This window comes from Homo sapiens, chromosome 2 (assembly GCF_000001405.40).
Source record: "Homo sapiens chromosome 2, GRCh38.p14 Primary Assembly".
NCBI classification, from domain to species: domain Eukaryota; kingdom Metazoa; phylum Chordata; class Mammalia; order Primates; family Hominidae; genus Homo; species Homo sapiens.
In genome coordinates this window covers 199,310,141-199,327,919 of record NC_000002.12, presented here as the reverse complement: position 1 = coordinate 199,327,919, position 17,779 = coordinate 199,310,141, and the positions used below count along the sequence as shown (strand labels likewise).

Genomic DNA, 17,779 nt, shown 5'->3' with positions numbered 1-17,779 from the left:
GAAAAAGACAAAATGGAGGAACACTTGCAGTGGAAGCATGCATATGCAGTGTCCAGATCAGAATGACTGAGATGTCACTCAATGATCCTTTAGAAAATGATGGTGGAAAGGTAGGCCTTAATTATTTTCCATCCTAGGATGATCTCCCCACAGAATTTGGTGACTTCCATTCTTCCTCTCCACACACTTGAAAAGTATTCTTTTCTTAGGCCCTCATGCAAATGTATACATCTAGTAATGTGTGCTTCAAAGCTCCTAACTCAAGGGTCAAGGTCTCAAGGCAGTCAGGGGTCATTTCTAGTTCACATCCAAGCCCACTCATTTCTGGCCTATCCCCTATTTCCCCTAAACTTTTACTACTCGATAGATTTATGATAAGGCCAGTCCGTTCACTGTTGCTATGATAGTTGCAGGTTCTGTCTGAGTGCTAATTCTCAAAACCAGTATTTAACAGGTATAAATTTTTTTTGTTTGTTTTTGAGAAGGAGTCTCACTTTGTTGCCCAGGCTGGAGTGCAGTGGTGTGATCATGGCTTACTGCAGCCTCTGCTTCTCAGGTTCAAGTGATTCTCCTGCCTCGGCCTCCCGAGTAGCTGGGATTACAGGCACATGCCACCACACCAGGGTAATTTTTTGTATTTTTAGTAGAGGTTGGGTTTCACCATGTTGTCCATGCTGGTCTCGAACTCCTGACCTCAAGTAATCTGCCCACCTCGGCCTTGCAAAGTGCTGGGATTACAGGCATGAGCCACCGTGCCCGACCTAATGGATATACATTTATACAAAGCTGAAAAATGGGCGGTTCAAAACCAAAGGTTGTTTTGCTTAGATATTATAGCTTTGGTTTTGCGTTTTCTGATAAATTCTAAGGAACTGATTAAGCATAGAAGCAGAATTGTATCCTAGTAGAAATATTTGAGCTTTTTCAAGTATATCCATTTTTTCACACATTTTAACTCTTTTTATATTTTTGTACTCTGCAATAAACTTTTAATTGAAGATTACTTTCTATCATGCACTGCCAAATTGTGTTACTTACACTTCAGTCTTTAGTGAATTATGAGTTTTAGTTACTGTTTGAACCAAAAATAAGTCTCTTGACTGCTTACTTTGGATGAGTATAACCAAGCATTTTTGTTTACTTAAAAAAAAATCTGGGGACATACATACTGAGCTAGTAAGTTGGGCAAGTTGTTAATGTGCACTAATATTTACTTCTGCTAAATTCATCAATATTTTTGCCACTTTTGAAGCCCATTAAACCATTATAGAAGAGCCCAGGCATACTTCATGGCCATTTGACAAGGCAGCTCTTCTTAGAAAGTTACTTCTGCTTGTTAGAAATTAACACAGGTCTGTGTATTTGTTTTCAGCTCTTTTGTACTATTTTCCTAACAAGATTATATATCGTAGGCACCTTTTCAAAGACCTAATAGCTTTCAGTGCCAGACTGACTTACAAGGCCCCACAGTTAGGGTCAGTATTTTGCTTATTTTGACCAGAATGCCATCTAGAAAATTCATACAGATGCCCTTTAGGGATAGGTGTAGCAGGGAAATCTCTTATTTAATATCACAGTTTTGATATTTTTGAAAATAAATATTTAAACATGTTTTTGAGAATACGGTCATGGCATTGCATTTGTACATTCTCTAGAATTGTCTTTTTCTCTTGGGTAAAGATTGAGAAAGGAGAGTTTATTAAAGTCTTTTAAAACATTTCATGATTACTGACTTAAAATTCTTTACAGTCATATCTCAACAGTAAAGATCGTAGTACAGTACAGATTTTATTGTGAGAACAAGTATTAGAGGAGTACTCACTGACTCAGCCTTTTAGTTGGAGTCAGCAATTTAGTGCACACAAGCAGCTTGACATTGATGCAGGGAGATTATTTTCCAGACCCCATCTATACTTTATTAGTAGCTGAAAAACAAATTGAAGAAATTTGAAATTTGAAATTATACCTCCAGTCTCTTTTTATTTCTTCAGCTGGCCAGCATTCCATGGTGTACTTAATAATGACAAAACAATACTAAGATAAGAATGATCATTTGTTAAAACGCTTACTGTGTATTAGGTGTTGTGAACATTTTGCATGAATTCAGTTGTCACCATTTTATGGTATTATGCCCATTTTACAGATGAGGGAACTGAGGTTTAGATGGATTCAGTAACTTGTGTAAGGGCACATGGCTGAGGGGTTTCGTCTTAGCCCTCATGGTTGGAGAGAAGGCTTGACCAATCAGGTAGGATGAGATAGTCAGTGAGGCAAATTAAGAAAACTGAATTGAGAAAGGGCAGACATGCTATGCTAAAACGTTCTCTTAACAGGGAAAGCACTGTGGGTTAACTAGAAATTTTGAGCAGAACAAATAGTTTATTTTAAAAAATTACAGATAATTGAATTTTTAATGGGAAAGTCCCAACATAGCAAGAAAATTCTTACAACAGCACCTGGCATAAATTGGAGATTTTGGAGGCAGTGTGTAGTGCAGTGTCCTGAGCCCATGTTTTTGAGCCTGAAAGACTTGCGTTCAGATCATGGTTCCTTCACTGGCTGCTGGGTGTCCTAGGTTAAGATCCTCTTTTATTTCAGTTTCTTCATCTGTAAGATGAAAATAATAATATCTAACTCATTGGAATCTTAAAAGAATTAAATGTGAAAACAAATGTTAAAATGCTTTCTGGAGTACCTGGCCCATAAAAAGCACGCCATAAATTATAGTAATTATTGCTTTGCGGTAATTAGAAAATAGTATGAGAGAAGGAGGTAGAAGAAAAATGGCAGAAGTTACTGAGCACTGTTAGGAAGCAAAGCCTTTATGGAAACGTAGGGCCTTAAGTTCTGCCGCTAGACACCATTTGTCACAGAGTCCACACTGCCTGTTACATCTTTCTCTGGACCTGCATACTGCTGGATCCAGTAGAGAACAGCTCAGGGCATCCGCACAGGGAAACTTGTGATTTGGAGATAACTCTGTTGGTTTGAGATTCTAGGGTGAATGGGGACAAAGAGAAAAAACCCAGGTTAGGCCAATTCGGCTGGTAGTGCACAAGGATCAAGGATGTCTTTTCCTGAAATCTTGCTGCCAGAGGTTCTAAGAAAATGTCTCAGCCCTCTCTTATTAGACACCAGCAATGCATTCTAGGGCTCACACCAAGTAAATGTTATGACCGTCTTTTGGATTAAGTAGATTCAGACATTTTAGGGTTATCCTAACCCCAAGAAGTACAGACTTCTATATTGTCCTTCATTTGTCTCTGAAGCTGATGGGAAATCATTCAATTAAAACGAGCACTGCAGAATACATAAAACCGCAATATGAGTTTAAGAAAATGAAAACGGCACATCAAAGGCATTGTGAAGCCTAGTTTTATGAAATGAAATTTTGTTTCATTTCCACTGATTTCCTAGGTGAAATTAGGTGACTGTCTGGGTAGCATAATGATGATAATGATGGGAAACCATACATACTCGAATGACATATGTAAAGCTTTAATAAAGAATAAGAGAGACTTGGGAGTGCATTAAATTGAGTAATAATTTATTATTTAGAGACCTCTACCCATTTACTTATTTTTTTTCTGGAAGAATTGGCTCTTATTCCAAGGTGTGCCATTTTTAGAAAGAAAAGGTTAACTGTGTGTGTGTTCTGCATGTTTGTTTTGTAGTTAGATGGTTGCTTATAGTTTGGTGTCTAGGAGAGCCATCCTACCTGTGAACCTTCGTCTGGGATGCTGTGAGAGAACAGGGTTGACAGGATTCTGCATGTCCTATAGGAATGCACTGCAATTATTTCCAATCACAATTAACCTGATTAGAATAATGGACAGGAAGTGTCCCTCTGTAGCTAATGCAGTTTGGCATCAGCTGACTGAAATCCTTTGATAATTTCTGCACAGATGGCTGGGCTGAATGCAGCACTTTTTAAATTATTATTTTCATGGTCTCTTGGTAGGCCAAAACCTCGACACCGACAACAGACCTCCCTATTAAGGTGGACGGCGCCAACATCAACATCACAGCTGCCATTTATGACGAGATCCAACAGGAGATGAAAAGGGCCAAGGTGTCTCAAGCCCTGTTTGCCAAAGTGGCTGCAAATAAAAGTCAGGTGAGTGGTTTTTAAAAAAGCAAAATCGAGGGCTGGAATTAGATCCTTCTCCTTCCTCCACCAATAAAAATACATCTGTTCCTATAATAATAATAACAGTAATAACCCCCAAGAAACCTGTCATGTTCTGCCTTTTACTCTAGTTTGCTTTTATTCCCATTGGAGTTCAAAATAGAGATGAAGCCAAAACTTGACCTTTTTTCTTTTAAAGATTAAAAAAAATTAGCCTCGAATGATTTCTCTCCTTATTCTAAACACTGCAATGTACCCTTTTGTTTCTCTCCCTTTATATATGTGTGTGTGTGTGTGTGTGTGTGTGTGTGTGTATGAACAAAACTTAGAATGTATATAACAGCACCTTTCTGAGACCAAGTTTTAGCCAAGTCTCATCACCTTTCCTGTTCCCACAAGGGGAATGTCCAACTCTGTTATAATAACCACTTTTCCCCAGCCCCAGAGACACCTTTTGATGTCAGGTGTTTCTTTTATGTACAGAATACAGTTGATTTTTTCAGGAGAAAACACACGTGGGGGGAGTGCAGAGTAAGTGCTAAAATCTTTTAACAGAAAAACACAGAAGCTTATCCAGTAAAATTTTTCAGAGTTCTGGGATTGTGGAGAATGTAATGCTCTGGGGAAAAGAGCAGACAGATGCTTAGGTTTTTTATTTCTGAAAGCAGCAACAGTTGATGGGATCTACTATCTGCTTCAATTCTTCATTTAAAGGGACAACTTCTGCCCAAACCTAGAATCCTAGGTTTGAGGTGCATGCTCACTTATGTATACCTAGGGCGAACACCTAATGCAGAGTGGAGGAAATAAAAGTTAGTTAAAGCATAATTTTGAGAGTCCTTTGATTCTGAGCTTGATTTCCTCTGTGTCCTTATATGACAAATGTTTTCATCCCTACATATGTAAATAATCAAATGGTTGATCATCTCCCTAACAAATCTTCTGTTGTGTGCTATAAAGAAAGGAAGTGACTGAGTATTGTATTTCTATTAAGCAAGAAGGTTTTCAATAAAAATTAAATTTTTAAAACTGAAAAACTTCAAACTGTAGTTAAATGTTATATTTAGATTAATTATAGAGTACAGGGTTAGCCTTCTTTACCTGCAGTTTTAACCTGATATAGGTTATTTTTAGATGTTGATAAAAGGAGGGGAGTAGAATATCAAGGAACTTGGAAAGGGATTGAAATGTTTGTTTCCCTTTTCAATTTCAGTGTAGTAAGTTTTCCAGATTACTCTGACTTTCTCTCTTCAATGAAATCAGTGAAATACAGTTTGCTAAGACATAATGTCCAACCATAGTATGAAATACATGAAAAGAAAATACCATAGAGCCTTCTTAAACTGTTAAATGCATAAAATCCCATGTACCACATGGCAAAATATAATGAGAGTTGGAGCTGTTAAACGAATAAAGCTGTTAAATGCATAATGCCACTTGGCAAAACTACTGTGCATTTAATGGTTTTCCACTGTGTAATAAAGGACATATGTGGTAAATGTGCAGTGAGTATAAAAGCTGCACAATTGATTTTGCAAACCTGCCCCTTAGTTGTGACTTGATGTAAATATCAAAGTTTCACACAGTCCTTCTTTTATAAGCAGCTTTCAAGAAAAACTGAAGACCACAGTCTGAGAACTTGATTCCAAAAGCCTGTAATCTTCCTGTTGATTTAGCAGTATGGCTTTTGGAAATAGTGATGCCTCCAGCCTCCTAAAATAATTCAGGTAGCTGATTGAAAGCTGCTTTTGCCAACTGGCAGAAGCTTAGCTCTCCAAATTTTTGATGTCTCCTGAAGAAATCAGTAGCCCTGATTTCGTAGAATTTGGAGAAGAACATAGTTCTGGGAATTAATATGCTGAAGGTAAGATTGAGCTTAAGTGAGGATAAGATGCTTTGAGGTTGTTCCTTTTTCACTGGGACAATGATCTCATTTTCATCTATGAGTGGGGAACCTTATTGTAAATAGCTGACTAGATAGGCAATTCAGGCACTATGTTTATTATGTTTTTTTTTTAAAAATGATACTGCCAAACAAAATGAATTTAATTGGCAGTTTCAAAGGCAATTTAACAAAAGATATTCACTCCATTTTATAAGTATCAGTATTCATTTGATAAAAAGTACATTTAGTGAAATCAATTGCATGATTTGGTACATGGCATATATATTTGGTGGCTATCCATAAGGTGTATCTATGTGTGTGTACCTGTGTGTACATGTGTGTGTATGTGTGTATATATATACACATATATGTATATATGTATATGTGTGTATATACATGTATGTGTATATACACATATATACATGTATGTGTATACATATATAAATCTATAAGGTGTATATATGAGACTGAGATATATATATATCCATAAGGTGTATCTGTGTGTGTATATAGACATATATATGTCTATGTATAGACATACATATATATCTATACATAGACATATGTACATACATATATGTCTATACATAGACGTGTATATATATGTCTATACATATGCATACACATACATACACCTTATGGATATATATATCTTAGTCATATATATACACCTTATAGACTTATATATCTCTCTTAGTCATGACTAATCATAGGACTTAACCTTTTCAAGCTGCAGAGGGGAGTGGCCACACCCACTCCATTGTATTGTGAGGACGGAGAGGAACAAAGATTTTTCTCTTCCCTTGCATTTTCTTCCCTCCTTTTATTTTTCTTTGGAGGGATCTTAAGTTCTTGCAGTGACTGAAGAGCCAAATGCAAGGGCTTTCCCTTCTCCTGAAGGTGAAATTAGGGAAACAATTAAGTAGTCTTGTGAACTGGAGTTGCCTTGAATCCCTGAAGGCCGAGTTCAAATATGCATAGCAACCTTCTCCTTCCATTTGAAATTTATATGACCCCTCCATTAACACTCCTTGGTGTTAATTGCTGTAATCAGCTGTTAACAATAATTTCTAACACTGCCCTGTGTGTTAGGGAAGCCTTGAATGGGGAATAGGAAGAGGGAGGAAAGTTTTAGAGAGAGTAGGAATGGTGGTCCAAGAGGGTCCTCGAGGGCTGTAAGTGTTTAAGTAGGAACCAGGCACAATGCAAGGATAGGGGTTCAGAAAAGGAGTTGAAAGGGTGGCAAACTGGTTCATTGTGAAAATCCATTACTGGGAAGTGTGTGTATATGTTTCCCTAGTGTATGGGTTACATGAGGATGCATTTGTAGGGTCCCAGACCACCTCCTGCAGCTCAGCTCTAGTTAGTCCCTTGGTGATTGCTAGGCCAGTCCATCATCCACTTCCATTAGGTATCTTCTATCAGGCCCTTGCCCCTTTCTTCGTGGGAAAGGAGTCCAAGAAGGATAAGACCAGAGGGAAAGACATGTTTATACACATTTCGCCTTGTACTTTTCCTTCATTTTCTATTTAGGACCAGTTTAGTGTTTTAAAATAATTTTCTGTGTGTGAATTCTGAGGATTACCTTCCTTTTCTGTCTGCAGAATACTCAGATCATGGAATAGAATGACAGTGGTAATTCTCTGTGAATTAGGAGTTAGGGGTTCTTAGTAGAAGCCATAATGTAAAGGCATATGGAGCGTTTTCTGTGTAACTCCAGTCTGACCCTCACATACAAAGGGCCACCAGGGAGCGAATGCCCCACATTCTGTCTGCGTGGCCACAGGAATGCCTTGTTCCTCAAAAGCTTCTGCTAATCTTGCTGGCCCTCTTCTGCAGATTCTGTAGGGCCGCTTTCCCCCTTTCTTCCCAATTTTACCCAATCACCCGTGATCTGGGTTGTAGAAATCTAGAGGAGAGAAAACATAGTAACCTGTGGGCACATCTTCTGCGGCTCTCAGGGGACGGTTGTGTACTTTGACAACATCCTCAGCCACATTTCTCTCCCTTGACATCAATTACCCCATTTCCCAGACACTGATTGTTTTTTTCTTCTCATATCCTGCTATCTTCTCCCTTTTATGGGCTACGATAGGTTAGCTCATAGAATGCTAAGGATCATCTGACTTTTTTTTTTTCTTTGAGAGGAGAGTTAATCTTTATTATTTATTATTATTATTTGTATACCCGAAGACTCAACACTACATATGTGATTGTTTTTTCCTACTAGGTTTGGGTAAAAATAGAGTAGGGAGAGAAATGGAAAGGGGCTTATTTTTAATCTCTGTTTTCCCTTCCCTCCATTAAAAAGATAAACCAATGAACAAAAACTTCCGAAGGGCTGTGGACTTGCTTTTTGTATCAGGAAGGTGGAGAGAAACTGATACACCCTGTTCTGTTCCATACAGACAAGGGGAAAAAGACGGCCTGGTTTTAAACCCCAGATGGTGATAATGAAAGGGGGTAGTGCCAGAGCCTGCTGGGATAAAAGAAAAAGGGTGATTTTGGAACCAACAGGGAACCAGGGGGGTCTCTGGTGAGATGATATTAGTAAGATGTCCTCATCTTTACAAAGGTTTAAAGACCTCTGCCAATCCTCCATGCTACCTATGCCCTTGCAGGCCCACTGGCTGCAGGAACTGCCACTAAAGTCAGGAATGAGAGAGTTTTTCTTCCTACTACACACTTTAGAATGGGAGGCATAATTGTGATCCCATTGTAGCTAAAAGAGATGGATTTCTGGCTTGTAATACACAATTCTAAAATCATTTTCCCCATAGAAACTATGACCTACATGGTGATTGGGTTTCAGTATGTTCTATGCTTCATGTACATTAGGATTAAGTGGATTTTGTGTACTGACCTTTATGCCTTAGCACTATGTTTCTACAAAAAAAAAAAAAAAGTTTCAAGTTCTCAACTACTTAACAAATTGTATTCCTAAGTGAGAGTGTACTTATGTTTTAGATGTAGTTTACAAGCTCAGATTTTATGAACATTGCTTTTTTCTTAAAATCTCTCCTTATAGGTGGTCTAATTTGCTTGACAGGCTAAATAATTTAAAACATCTAGGTCTCTGTGGAAGATTCTTTTTATATAAAAGAAAAATAAAGGAAAGAGAGTAATTAATTTTTGTTTTTGCATCTCTTCTTAAAATGTCTCAGGTACATATTTATACATTTTTTAAAGAAATAATTTATATTTTGTGATTACGTAAGTAATTTAACAGCCTCATTTTAAAAAATTCAGAAAGTGACGAAGAATATGAAAGTGAAAACATGGATCACCCATGATTTCATGACCCAGACATAGTTAGTATTAATATTTTAGAATCTTTTCTTTCAATGTGTATATGTTTGCATGGGAGTATATGTGTATGTTTATGTCCTAATTGATATCGTAACTGTGTAACACATAATTATGAGACAAGTTAAAACTATAATTTTTTAGGACAACTTTTTTATGTAGGAGAGTAAATTTACAAAATATAAAAAATTATCTTGTCTCATTACTTAGTTTCCTAGCCTTTAAAAAATGTTGCACAAAGATCAAAGTTTTGCCATTTTGCACAAAAAGTGCTTTAATGTTGATCTTATATTATTAAGTTTCCATTTTGAGGATGCCTTTACTGGGGCTGGGATAACTTAGGGCCCTGGAAGTAGACATGTTGCTGACCTGAGCTCTCTGGTATAAAGACTAACAGAAACTATAGGCCATAAGATACCCTGTGTAAAAGTGAGTTGGTGGTCTGCCTCACTGCTAATGATTTTGCTTTTGCCATTTATATTCAACATGTAAGGTAGGAAAAAATGAGGTGTACAGCCTTGACTGAGTAGCTGCCAGGTAGCTTTCTTCAGAACACAATCATTCTGAGAGCCTATCATGGACCAGTTTCCACTCTTGTCAACTGGGCGAAATATACTAAAATTTAGGGGTGGTGTTCCAAATTCAAATTCAAAAAAGTTTAATATATGTACGCTAAAAATACCATTTGAAAAATATTATATGCCTAGTGAAGAAATTTCTCAGATTCCCAAATGCCAAACTAAGTGGTGTGAACATAGTGATATGATGCGCGAGCGTCAAGTTGAGCCCTCCAGTCTCCCCTCTTTTTTCTCTTGGTATAATCTCAAGAAATCAGATTCTAGTGAAGGAATCTCCTCAGACATTCCCATAAGATCTGTTTTAATATCAACCTCATGATCAAGAATTGGGTTCTTTTTACCACCCTCACAATTAATTATGTTAATGTTTCATGCCTTAAAATTAGTCTTTATAGGAGTCCTTAGACAATCAATAATAATGATGATAATGAAGATTAATCAGACTACATATGCAGTTCTTAAAATGTCAAATACTTTTAACTTATCACTAGTTTTAAACTCATTTTAAGTTCATTTTATCCTCTGCAGAAACCTTTGAGTTCATTATTTTGCCTGTTCCTGACTTGGTAACTTTGGAAACTTGCATGTGTCTTTGAAGTAAATTAGGTTGCCATATTAAAGCTTCCTCTCTGATTTCTCCCCAGCTGGTTAGGGAAGAGGACATCGAGTTAAACTGTGGTTCTTACAGTGGGAGAATGTTGGTATCTATGAATGGTTGCTACCACTTTGCTGTTGAGACTATTTAATCTTCTTTTCACAGGGCCAAGACCTAGGGTAAGGCAAGCTAGCTGCCTGGGGTGCAAGATGTAAGAAAGCACACACTTGTCAAGCCATTCTGTTTACATTTCATGCCCTAGTTGCTTGTTCACCTCATTCTAGTCCCACCCTGATCTTTAAAAAAAGTTTTACTCCTGGTTGTCTGCCCTGTCTGGTTTCCCCAACCACTACCCTGCCCATACCGCCCCACCCCTGCCACCCACCCATTATGATAACTTCTTGAGGAAGTTTGCAATATACAGTGATACGTCACAGGTATGCTGGCATTTGGACCTGAAGGGAGGTGCTGGAAGCATTTTGATTGTTTTCAGTTTGATATTTTAGCCTAGTGCATTTTGCTGTTAATATCTTTCTGCCGTTGAAGTGAAGAAGTCCAGGATTCTAGATTCATTCTTCTTTTTTGACAAACACAAATGGCTTTTTAAGGTGCATGTACCCATGTATGCATGTATGTGTGTTTGTACGTATTTATATGTGTAAAGGTGTACCAAATCTCCATACTGTTAAATAGCTATGCATATTCCGTGTATGCTAAGGAGGGCAACAAAATTTTGTGTAATCCCCTCTTGACTTGAGCCCAGCAGAGGTTTAAAGGGCTGTTCTGAAATAAAATTTTCATTACTCTCAATTACAGACTCAATCTTTACAGACATATCCATAGAAATGTCAGTGACATGCATAAGATAACCCAGACATAGCTAAAAATTGGTCCCTGTAAAAATACAGTTTAGAATTTAGTATACAATTTTGAAAAGTAAAGAAGCAGATCTTCTGTACTTACCACATTTAAAGTATAAAATAATTAACCTTGAACTTTAACCAAATAGCCAGCACAAATCTTTTTTCAGGTTTAGATAATCTCCTTGTCAGGGATTCATTGAAGCCCTTGACAAGCCTTCCTTGTAGTTAGGCTTTTATCCATTTCAGTTTTCTTGATTAGGTTATCTTGAGTCATTAGGGGGTTTATTTATTTTAATAGACACTTATTGGATTCATGAAAAGAGAATTCGGTGACGAAGAAACAAGAGCTGAATATTATCTGGCTCATTTCACACTTCAGAAGAGTCTCAACCATCTGAAGAGAAATCCTTTCACAGTTACAAAAGTTTGTTTGGGGACTTTATGTGCTTCCATTTAGAAAGCGAACTGTCTGTGGTTAATAATATGAGTTTCCTTTTGAGATACTCAGAAAACATTTCCCTTTGGTTACATATGCTGACATTTTCTGTATTGAAGATGTGGGTGAGTAAATGGCCTTTTGCATTTCTGCTGCAAGAATCTATGAGTCATTCTCCTGAAGAACTGTTCATTTGCTGAGATATTCATTCATTAGAGTTCCTAGAGGGGCAAAGGGAGTGGGGGCTACTTACTAATTAGTAGGTGAAGTAACTCATTAGCTTTGTGTTAGTCATATCAAGGGGAATAATCACTGTGACAAGGCCCTGCCTTCAAGGAGCATATACAGCTTTATTCAACAGGGGTAAAGTTATTAACTCTTGTGGGAGATCAGAGCAGGCTATGAACTTGTGTTTAGTGCTGAGCAAGTTCTAGTTTGTATTTGTTCTGAAATATTGTAAAAACTGGAAAATTAGTCATAAACCTAGACCAATGTTTTTTAAGGAAAAAACATGGGGGCTGTGAGAAGTTGGGGTCAAAACCAAGTGTCCTGGGGAAGAGAAAGCAAGCCACTTTGTATGCAGTGGCATTTCAGTACCATGGACAGGAACCCCACTCTTTTCATCTGTGGTGTGCCCCTCCCCTCCTTATCACTTAACATGTAAGATTTACAGCCAAGATTCAAACTCTTATCTGTTAGGCTCCAAGCTTGAACACTGGGCCATATTATTGTTTTGTGAAAGGCCTCCCTGGTCATTTGAACATTCTCAGCCTTTGGTATGTGGTTTGGAGGATATGTCACTCATTTATTGTGGACTTGAAATATTTTAATCTTTTAAAATATTTTATAAGTGAAATAGATATTGCCATACCTCATTCATTTTCAATTGAAGAGAGCTTTAAAAACTCTAATATTAACAACAGCAACGACAGAAATACATGCATATATACACACAGAGAGAGAAAAGAAAGTGGTTAAAATGATAACAGATTATTTAAATGATTGATGTAGTGTGGTTCTTTATGATATATGTCATGTCTTTTTAGAATGAACACTCCTAGAGGGTAGAACTTATGAAGTGTGCACTTTACCAGTACCAGGCCATTGTGGGTCCCAGTTAATACCAAGCCACACAAGTTCACTATGAAAAAAGATATCTAGTCTAGGATAAGTCATGCTCTTGACTTTATGATAGCCTTTTCCCCAACAACTTCTTCTTAAAAAGGAAGAAGGTGGGGGAAAGAGATGAAAAGAAAGACGAGTTAATTCTTCATCATGTCAGTTAAAAAGCCCTCAAAGACTCCTAGGGCCCATAAGATTAAGATAAAAATTGTTTTTTTGCATGACATTCTTTATAATCTGAGCCCTACCTTCATTTCTAGACTTTCAGTCCTCTCCCCACCTGGTGAAATCTATCTTTATCTTCCAAGATTCACCTTGCATGCCATAATCTCAATGATGACACTTTTCCTGAACTGCTTCATGGTCAGAATTACTCACTTTCTTGTTGGCAGTCTCAATTAACCTTTCAAGTAAAAAGTAACAATGACAATTAGATAATATATGTAATGTACTAGCCCATTCATTGCATGGCATGCAGGAGATGGGTGCTCAACAGAAAATTGTTAACAGAATCAATGTCCTGAGAGACTACTATTACTATTTGCAATTTATATAATGGACCATTTTCCCTATCGTATTCATGCATTAGAGATAGGGAAACAAACCTTAGAACAGTGACAAAGTTGCTTCTGAGAATTGGTGCTTCTCTCAAACAATAACTTTCTGAATTTGAGTCCATAAAACATTCCTCTAGGCTAATTTCTGTGTACTCTAATAATTTTGGTTCAATCTAATGACTATTTATTGAGAAGCTACTATGTGCAAGAAACCATACTCTGCTCTGAAAATGGTAAAATGAGTAAGAAACAAACCCTTGCCCTCCACTCCCATCAAGAAGCTAACTGTTCTGATGGGAATGCAGACATACCCACCCCTAAAAATAATAATGATCAAGTTGTGAAAAAGTATAAACAAAATGCTTCAGGGTTATGCAAGAGTGAGAAACAAATGAGACCACATCAGCTGAGCCTTGAAGTACAGCTTCTCATGGGGAAAAGAAGTTGAGTATGAGACATTCCATCTAAGAGAGTAACATGGCAGAAGCATGAAGGTGAGAGTGTACCTGTGAGTAATTCACAGTGGCTGGAGCACAAGGTCAGTAGGGGAACTGGTGGGAGACAAGGTCATGAAAGAAAAATGGAGGCAAATGGTGTTTTTTTATTGTTGCCTCTAGTAATGTTCTTAAATTGTGAACTAGAGGTTCTCTCCTTTATGCAACTCATTAATGAAACTATCAACTTAATAAAAGATAAACTAGGAATTTTTTATTCATCTTCCAGAAAGAATTAATGGCACATTTCTTCAAATAGTAAGCATGTCTAATACATTTACAATGTGATTTGCTTTGTAAATGTAAATTGATATGCAACTTTTCAGGAACACTTGGATTGTAAACAAACTATATCTTGACTGGTAGGAGTGTCATCTCACCTGCATAGTTGGAAGGGCAGTCAGAGTTGTTTTTTCTACTGAGGGAAATATATTTGTTTAAGAGGCTGATGAGATGGCTAAAATGAGATGTGAATAAATATTATTTGCTTATGCACCCTAATGCTTGGGAACTTTTAACCATTGATTGCAAGGAAGCAGTCTTTGAACTTATTAATAGATTCCTTCTCTGGATTCAGATTTTGAAGGTAAAGTTTTAATTGCGAACCTGTTGGTATTATTACACTTAGGCTCCATGTATATTTTTCTCTATAAGTTCCAGGAATTTCCTGTATCTAAAAAAAACTTTTTATTTTGAACTAATTTTAGACTCACAAAAATGTTGCCAAACTAGTATGGAAGGGATCATTGCACTGTATTATATATCCCTCCCCTATCTTCCCCTAATGTTGACACCTTATATCACCATATGGCAATTATTGATGATAGGGCAATTATCAAAACCAGGAAAGTGACATTGTTTCTATACTGTTAACTAAACAAAAACCTTATTCTAATTTCACCTGTTTTTCTACTAATGTCTATTTTCTGGGACAGGATCGTAGCCGGCAACCACATTGCATTTAGTTATTATTATTCTCCTTAGTCTTCTGCAGTCTGTGACGGTTCTTAAGTCTTTTCTTTTCTTCTATTACCTTGCCATTTTTGGTTATTTTGTTGAACACTTCTCAGTTTGGGTTTGTTTGATATTTTCTCATGTTTCGACTGAGGTTATGCATTTTGGGCAAGACTACCTCAGACATGATGTTGTAACCTTTGCAGTACATTATATCAGAGCATTCGTGGTGTCAGTATATCATCACTAGTTATTTGACCTTGACCACTTTGTCAAGGTTATTTTTTATTTGTGCCTTTAACCCTGATGGTTTATCACTATCTGCTTTTTCTGACAGATAACAAGGTAACAGATCATGGAATGTAGAACCAAAGAGGAACTTAGAGACCATCTTTTGTTAACCCGTCCTTTTACAGTTAAGCACCCAGGAGCTTGAACAGTGTAACTATTTGCCCAAAGGTCACCCCGTTATTTAATGACAGACCAGGAACTTAGCAGTTAGGTCTTAGAGATCCAGGTTTGATACCTTCTACATTCCTAGCTATGCTCAAACAGTTATAATTCACTCAGTCCTAGTTTTACCAGACTGTAAAAGCTAAATGGACTCTAGGAATATACAGCCAACCTTTGGTCAAAACTTAAAACCAGGCTAAGAGAGAAATCCCAGGGAAGCATATACTCCACAGTTCATGGTGCCCACTCACAGAGCTGTCCAAGGCTGGAAACCAGATGAACTTCTGTATCAGCATTTCTGAAATGAAAATAATTCTCATGGAATGCTCCACATAACACAGAGAAAACAACAAAAACCTACTTGAGATTTTTAACAGAAAAAGGAGATTTGTTTATTAATAATTCATGAGTTCCCATTGAACATGCACGACAGAAACAGTGCTATTCAATAGAGAATACTGTCATCTGTCACTGTTTTATTTGACATTTACACTTTTTTTTTTTTGCCTGATACTGCAAAACTTTCTTGGATGGCATGCAAAGATTATATAAATGAAAAAAAATCCCAATATGGGGACCCTTTATCTCTTCTGTGATGGGGTCACTCACAATTACATACATGTGTGTTCATGCAACTGCGTGGCACTTTCTCACACATTCATTAGCCAGCAAACAAGCTAATAAGAGACCGTATTGAGAAAACAGAGATAAGCATCCCAAATGGGCTGGTGAAAAGATGATATGAATAAAATGATGGTGCATGAGATGGGAAGTGAGGTGGAAGAATAGATTTCCTGAAGATAGGCTTACAAATACATGGAATGAGCAAGCGAGCCAGAGTGAGGGGAAGGTAAATCATGGCTGCCATGAGGAAAACTAACACAAAAATACATTACCAGTTCAGATACAAAATAAATACCTATATATGGCATCACAGGAGCGCCCGTAGGAGGGAATAACGGCCTTTAGGAGAAGAGCAAGGTAGAGTTAGGATCACCTTCCGATTTTGTGCTACTATAAGGCTCTTGACAATCTTTCTGCTCTGTAGGTTATTATTTATAAAAATCACAGAACCAGCTGATACATTCATAAGCTAATTACTGAGGCAGCTGGGTACACATGGTGCAATATGTCCAAGGCTGTGAAGTATCACAGATTTCTTGGGGCCTGCTGTGGTGGGGGTGCGCTGTTGAAGGCTCCATCCCTTAATCTGATCAGCCAAGCAAACACTTTGTGGGGAAACTAGATTAATAACCCTCTAAATACCATGAATGTGCTTCATCTTCAAAACCGGGTTCCCTTAAACATGCTATTAGCTCAGCTCCATCAGGGATTTGAGGAAGTTCTCTGGTGCCTTAAGAACAGGGTCTTGTTGGCTACCTCCCTGTGCCAGAAATTAATTTGGTTTGCTTATGTCTGCACACATGATCACACTTGTGTCTAATCTGCTCCCTAATAGCTTCAAGGTCAAGACCTTGCATGTCAGTGGGCAAATTGAGCACTACACTTCTTAAAGACTGATGGCAGACAGCACACAGTCCATAATGAGGCCTGTAGTGTTGTTCTAAGTGATTGTAATGAGTGCAGATTATAACAGCGCATATAAATCAAATGCGGCAATGAATGTTGTGCGAGACATTCCCAGTGTCATAAGTGGAGATACCACTCAGCTGTCACCTGTCTTCTTTCAAGCTGCGGCTTCCCACAATGCAGTTCAGTCCTCAAGCAGAACAGCAGGTGCTGTCTTCCTTAAGGTCTGGGTATCTCAGATCTTCTTCTTTTAACAGATGCAGGTTTTTGTTTGTATTTTCCATTAAATGGTTAGTCTCCATGCTCTTGCCTCCCCTGGGAGATGTTAAACATACCTGTTTGAAACATTTGAAAGAATTCAGTTGGAGACTTATTCAGATCTATGAAAAGATAGAGAAGTAGGAGCTTATTTTTCCACAGATGGTTTATTTTCCATTTCAAGAATTCTTTTACTTTATGCAAAGAAACCCTTGAGGAAACACTTGGGGACTAGATTTTTAAAACTATAATTTATTTTCTGGTATGGATAAAAAAAATTGTCTTCATTTTTTATATACATTGCACCTTGAAAATCAACCATGACCTGCCTTTCAATTGAGTTGAAAAAAAATCTATGAAAATACTTGGAAAAAGATTTCCAAGCAAATGATAAGATACCTTGTTTTCATTCTTCCTAACCTTCTAACTCTCCCAAGCTTCCAGTTTATTGCAAGAAAAGATCAGGTCTGCGCAAATGTGGCCTCTCACTTGTAAAAACAAGGCAGTGTTGTGTTACAGATTAGTTTATAAATCCCTGGTGGCTTCACAGTTCAGTGCCTACAGCTGCTGCAGATGGGCCTGGGTTTTTGTCTCTTCGCGGTGCTGCAGCCGGCAGTTG

General features: G+C 37.5%; 1 protein-coding gene across 5 annotated transcripts in view; it reads left to right on the top strand.

Moving 5' to 3' along the window:
• SATB2 (SATB homeobox 2) overlaps nt 1-17,779 on the top strand; it is a 201,767-nt gene that overhangs the window by 143,347 nt on the left and 40,641 nt on the right. For all 5 annotated transcript variants that reach the window (NM_001172517.1, XM_005246396.4, XM_047443775.1 and 2 more), the window contains one exon: nt 3,962-4,117. In NM_001172517.1, the coding sequence (NP_001165988.1) occupies nt 3,962-4,117 (156 nt within the window). The remainder of the gene's footprint in view (nt 1-3,961; nt 4,118-17,779) is intronic.